At 50.0% G+C, this 5,861-nt stretch overlaps 1 annotated feature.

Moving 5' to 3' along the window:
- Positions 4,535–5,035: an enhancer, noted in NCBI's record as "H3K4me1 hESC enhancer chr20:57979490-57979990 (GRCh37/hg19 assembly coordinates)". NCBI's record gives its function as "activates a minimal SCP1, AML or CMV promoter by ChIP-STARR-seq in primed H9 embryonic stem cells {active_cell/tissue: H9 hESC(primed)}" and the evidence as "EXISTENCE:reporter gene assay evidence [ECO:0000049][PMID:30033119]".

The raw sequence follows: 5,861 nt of genomic DNA on the forward strand, positions 1-5,861 counted from the left end.
TCCACACTGAGAGAATCCTGCATGTGTGCCTGCTTGTGCAAAAAACCAAAACGTGTCTGGTTTGAGGCTTTCTGTGAGCTCAAAGAGACCTATCTTTTTCCAGATAGAAAAAAAACCCTGTCTTTCCAACACACACACACACACACACGCACACACACACACACACACGAATACACGGCACTTGGGACAGAAATGTCCCCCTTGCCGGCCCCAGGGTGCACCGCCTCCAGCACACGATGCTCATTCCCTGCAGTTCTTGGCTCATGAGCAATTGCCAATTTGTGTCTGTCTTCAGGCACAAGACATTCTCTCACCCAGAAAGGGCCCCCAAGAAAACACAATTCAGATAACACACACATACACACACACACACACACACACACCTTTCTCCAATTCTCACTAAGGCTTCACCACCTAGAACATGATTTCTCAGTTCTTGGAATATTTTGTGTCTGTTTACGGGCAGAAAATGATCTGTCTCACTCAAATGTCTGTCCCTGAAGCTGCCCTCTACTCTCTCCCGCACCAGAGAAAAGCCCACTCACACTCGCCCGCCCTTTTCACACTGAGCAAAGTCTGTGTGTGTGCACCTGCACACACTCTCATGTACGTGGCCAAAAAAATGTCCGTTGGTTCATCTCTTTCTGCAAACAAATGTGTCTTTTTCTAGGTAGAAAAATCACACACACACACACACACACACACACACACACACACACACACACACGTGTTTCCCCTTCTCTCAATAACTTTGCACCACCTGAAAGGTCATTATCCAATTCTTGGCTCTTGAGAAATCCTTTATCTCCAGTTAGAAAATACTGTTGCTCCCTGAGAAATGTCTAAAGTGCTCTGTCACTAGGCTGAACAACCTGCCGTGCCCTCCCCTGCACACACACACACTCACACCAGTCAGCAGGCGCGCACACACTCACAACCAGAAGAGCACTGTGTGCACGTCAGTACACATCCTGTCAGCCTTTCCATGTCTGCGCACACACACACACACGCGCGTGCGTAGGCAGAAACCTTCCCCCTGCCCATCAAGTGTCACCACTTAAAAATCACTTCTTTTTCTTCTAATTCTCAGCTTATGAAAATCTGTGTGTGTGTGTCTCCAGACAGAAAATGATTTTTTTTCCTCCTAAATTGCTTCCTCCAGAGCACTTTCTCACTGGGAGAAATGATTCCCCTCCCCAAGAAAAACACTTTAGAGAAGACGATCACTCCCACTCTGACTTCCTTTTCATATTGGAAAATTGTGTGTGTGTGTGTGAGAAAAACTGTTCCCTTTTGGTCTGTTTTTTTTTTTTGCAAGCCAAAAAACCACGTATCTTTTTTTTCCAGGCAGAAAAACTACTGTCTGTTTTTCTGTCTATCTCTCTCTTATATACACAGATGTACACACATGTGCACACACACACACACACACGCAGAATGTCTTTGTTTTCTAAGTATTTACCATCTGAAATAACCAGCACTTTCCAATCCCCAGCCCTCAGAAAAATATGTTTCCAGGTAGAAAATATTCTCTGTCTCTCAGAAAAGTCTCTCTCTAAAGGTTTGTCACTGGGCAGAAATCTCTCTTTCTCTCTCACATACACACACACAACAAGAAGGAAAATGTGTGTTTGTGGTTGTGGTTGTGTGTTTGTTTTTGTGTGTGTGTGTTTGTGGGTACAAGCCGATGAAAGTCTCTCCATGTTGAGCTGCCTCCCTGCAAGCAAAAAAATACATGTTCTTTTTTTTCCAGAAAGAAAAAATACGCCAACACACACACACACACACACACACACACACACACACACACACAGACATGTGGCTCTTCTCTATGTACTACCTGAAAAACAAGCAAACAAACACTATTTCTGGGCTTGCAGAAAATTATGTGCTTGCTTGTTTCCAGGCAAATAACAATATTCTTAATCTTCACTCAGAAAAGTCACTTTTCAAAACTCACTGGGCAGAAATACATTCTTCCCTAAAAAATAACAACCTACTCTCACCGTCTTTCCACACTTAGAAAAGTGTGTGTGTGTGTTTGTGTGCACGTGTGTAGTGGGAAAAAAACCCTCACTTTGTTAGTCTATCTCTTCCTGCAGGCAGAAAAATATACGCATCTTTTTCTCTGCGGGAAAACATGTACGTGAGGTGCACTGGCACACACACACACACACACACACACACACAATCTCAGGCAGAATGTCTGTTTTCTCACTAAGTATGCACCACCTGAAATACCAACACTTTTGAAATTCTCGGCTCACAGAAATACATGTGTCTCCAGGCAGAAAATGTTCTTTTTCCCTCTCAGAAAAGTCTCTCTCTAAAGCTTTTCATCACCGGGCAACATAACTCCCCTCTCCCCAAGAAAGCACACACAAAATATGAAAAACACACGTTGGAAAAGAAGAAAACTCTGTGTGCATTCATAGGTGTGTGGTTATAAGCAAAAATGTCTCTCTGTGTGGATTTGTCTCCCTGTAAGCAGAAAAATACGTATGTGATTTTTCCAAGTGGGAACAAAATTCTTCTCTTTCTCTCACTGTCTTTCCCTCTCACTGTCTCCCCTCTCTCTCTCTCACACACACAGTACAGACACACACGCGCGCGCACACACACACACACACACACACACACACGTCTCTTCACCGGGCTCCCCTGCTAAGCAAATATGTCTCCCATTCTCTAGGGAAGTGTGTGTGCACCACTTGAAAAACACTATTTTGTAGCTTGCAGAAAATTATGTATACGTGTATGTTACAGGCAGAAAATGCCCTCCCTCTTTTTTTCTTTCTCTTCTTCTTTCTCTCTTTCCCTCTTGGAAACGTTTCCCCTGCCACAGCCAAGAAACACACACCACATTAGGAAAACATAAGTACCTGCTCACTCCCCAGGTAGCACATGTTACGGGTGTGTGCACACGGCCCTGCCTGTTGCTCTGTCTCTCCCCGCACACAGGAAAACACGTGCTTGTGTGTGCTTTCTCCAAGAAGAAAAATCAATCTTTCTCTCTCTCTGCCTCTGTCTCTCTCTCCCTCTGGTGGAAAAATCATAGTTTATTGCTTTTTCCCACCAGCAGAAATATCTCCTACCTTAACCCCTTACAGGGGCTGGGGACCTGCACGCACTCGCCCTGCAAATCTGAAAACCCGGCGCTCTCCCTCCTGCTCTTTAGAAAAAGGGGCATGGGTCACTGTCACCCATTTTCTTATCACGAGAAGAGAGTGCCTGTGTTATTCTCTCTTTAGCTAGGAGAGCTCTCTGTCTTTGTCACACGCACCCCCTTTCCATGTCTGAAAAGGGTGTTTGTGTCACTGTCTGGGCCCAATGTCACTGTCCATTTACTCTGCACCCTGGGCAGGCAGTGCCTTTCACTAGGAAAGAAGGAAGTTTCTCCCACTGCTCCGTCCCCAGGGTCCTCTCAGGGACCTTCCCCCTGTCCCCGCACCTAGTCCAGGTGGGAACCGGTCTCCCCTTGCAGGGAGGCGCTCTGTCTTCTCCCGGGCCTGGATACACAGGTGTCGCAGCAGGAGTTCAATGTACCCCGTGACGCCCTCGCGGCCAGACGCCCCTGCCCAGAAAGAGGGGACCCTCCACTTCACTGAACCCAGCCCGTGCCAGGCCCCCGAGGACACCGGGCCACAGTCTCCTAGGATGCTCCCAGGCCTGGAGCGGGGCAGGGTATCTCGGTGCCAGGCAAGTTGGTCCCCAACGAGCCACCCCAGCGGGGGTCCCTCCTCCAGTCCCCTGAATCCCTTGTCTCTGGGACCACGTCTCATCTAGGCTCAATCAGGGGCGATGACAACAACCATGACTTTGCCCCAGGAACCTGAGTGGGGGGCACGGGGCCCGAGGAAGAAGGGGCCAGCGGGCTGTTCCCCACGCTGCACCCCCACTCTGGCGCAGCGAAGTCTGCAGATCTCTGGGCCCCGGCGCTGCCGAAGCCTCCCCCACGCGCCGCGCTCACTCGCTGCACAACAGCGCCACCACGAGGCCGCGGGCGGAACTGCCGGCAGCACAGCGGTCGCACCCCCCGGGCCCCCCGCCGGCTGTGCGGATCCCGAATCCCTGCTTGGCTCGGAGCTGCCAGGTCTAAGCCGACCCTCAGAGACGCACGCCCCTGACCCACTGGGCAGCTGTGGTGTCTTTGTATACAATGTTCCCTTCCTTTCTCCTCTTCTCGTAGATGTTCAGATTCCAAGGGACTTTTCCAGAAGCTTCCAGAAAACTTTCCTTTTAGGGGCCCAAGAGACCTTGATTTCAGGGACACAGTGAACCCCACTTAGGACCCCAAGAAAAGGGACTTGTCTCCAATCTCCTGTCCTAGAATGTGCAGACTTAGGGGGCTCTCCTGTACTCCTGGGTCCCGCACATCTGTCCAGCCCCGCCTCGTTCACCAGAGGCAGCAGAGACAGGCTGAGCACACAGACGTGGGCTCAACTCTCTGCCCATCCACTCACTGTCTGGGGAACTTGAACAACTCACGTTGCCTTTCTGTGCCTCAGTTTCCCCATCTGGAACTGGTCTAAAAGAACACCCCCCGGTAGAGCTTCTGGGAAGATCACATGAAGTATGAAGCTTTGAGAGCTTTTGTACCCGACAGGCTCTCAGGAGGCAGCAGTCCAAACGGTGGAGGGATCATTATGACTAAGCAGGCACAGCTCCCAGCCGAGGGGGAGCTGGATCTCCCTGGCATCGACCACCCCAGGATGGTTATGGGATAAATACCTCTGCAGACGTTCAAGTGGAGAGGCTCAGGAGGATGCCGGGAATGTCTGCTGTTGCTGGGTGGGGAATTCAAATGATTTGTGTTCACTGTATCCCAGCTAAGAAGTTCTGGGCCGGGGCAATCTTTCTGATGCCCTCTTGTCTCCTGTTAACAAGGATTAGCTCAGCAGTATAGACAGGACCATAAAATATACCACCTTAGCCAGATCCTGGGGAGGCCACTAATGGAGCCACACTGGGCCAGGTCCACGGGGGCCTCTCAGTCACAGCTGGGAGATGAGGCAAAGCCACCGTCGTCCTCACCTGCCCATCCACCATCCCGGTGAGGTCAGTGCTCAAAACCTGTCTTTATCCCAGTCCGGTCTCACAGGGAGTATTTGTGCTGCTTTAAAGCCCTTCCCGGTGTCCTACTTACTTCTCCCTCTCAACCCGCCGGCTGAGATAGGCTAAAGAGAACATCGTTTCTTCAACAGATGTTTATTGAGGACCTGTTATATTTCGGGAGCCGTGCTGGCCGCTAGGGACACAGCCTGAACAAGATAGGTCCCTCTTCTCTCAGGGAACTGACATTCTGGTGGAGAGAGGACAAAAACCATGTATTAATAAGTAAACAAGACAATTTCAGAAGACAAAGGCTGTGAATGAAGCAAAATAGGATAGACAGTAATTGGAGAGGGCTCCTTTACACAAGGGGCGGGGGGCGGGGATAAGAAGAAGGAGCTGGCTGAGTGCAGAACAGCAGGAAGGGTATTCTAGGCAGAGTGAATAGCAGGTTGAGGCCCGGGGTCAGGGGAGAATGAGCTCTGCCCGTTTGAGGAATGGCAGGAAGGGCCCTGGGGCAGGTGCGCAGTGGTCAGGGAAGCGGCCAGAGCTGGCTTGTGCTGGATGCAAAGAGAAGGTAAGGGATTGGAGTACTTAATAAATATTTGTCAAGTGAGTGAATGCATAATTTGATCTATCCATGTACAGTTGACCAGGTGGCGAAGGTTTGCCGAGTCAGCTTCTGTCCATTTTCTCTACTTAGTGGTGTCAGCTCTCAAAGACTTCTTGCTTCAGAGCCCCTCTCCGTGCTCCTGTGAGGGTGGGGATGAACCCTGAAAAGCCGTCTCCTTGTGGGCATTGCTGTTGTG

This window comes from Homo sapiens, chromosome 20, assembly GCF_000001405.40.
Source record: "Homo sapiens chromosome 20, GRCh38.p14 Primary Assembly".
Lineage (NCBI taxonomy): Eukaryota > Metazoa > Chordata > Mammalia > Primates > Hominidae > Homo > Homo sapiens.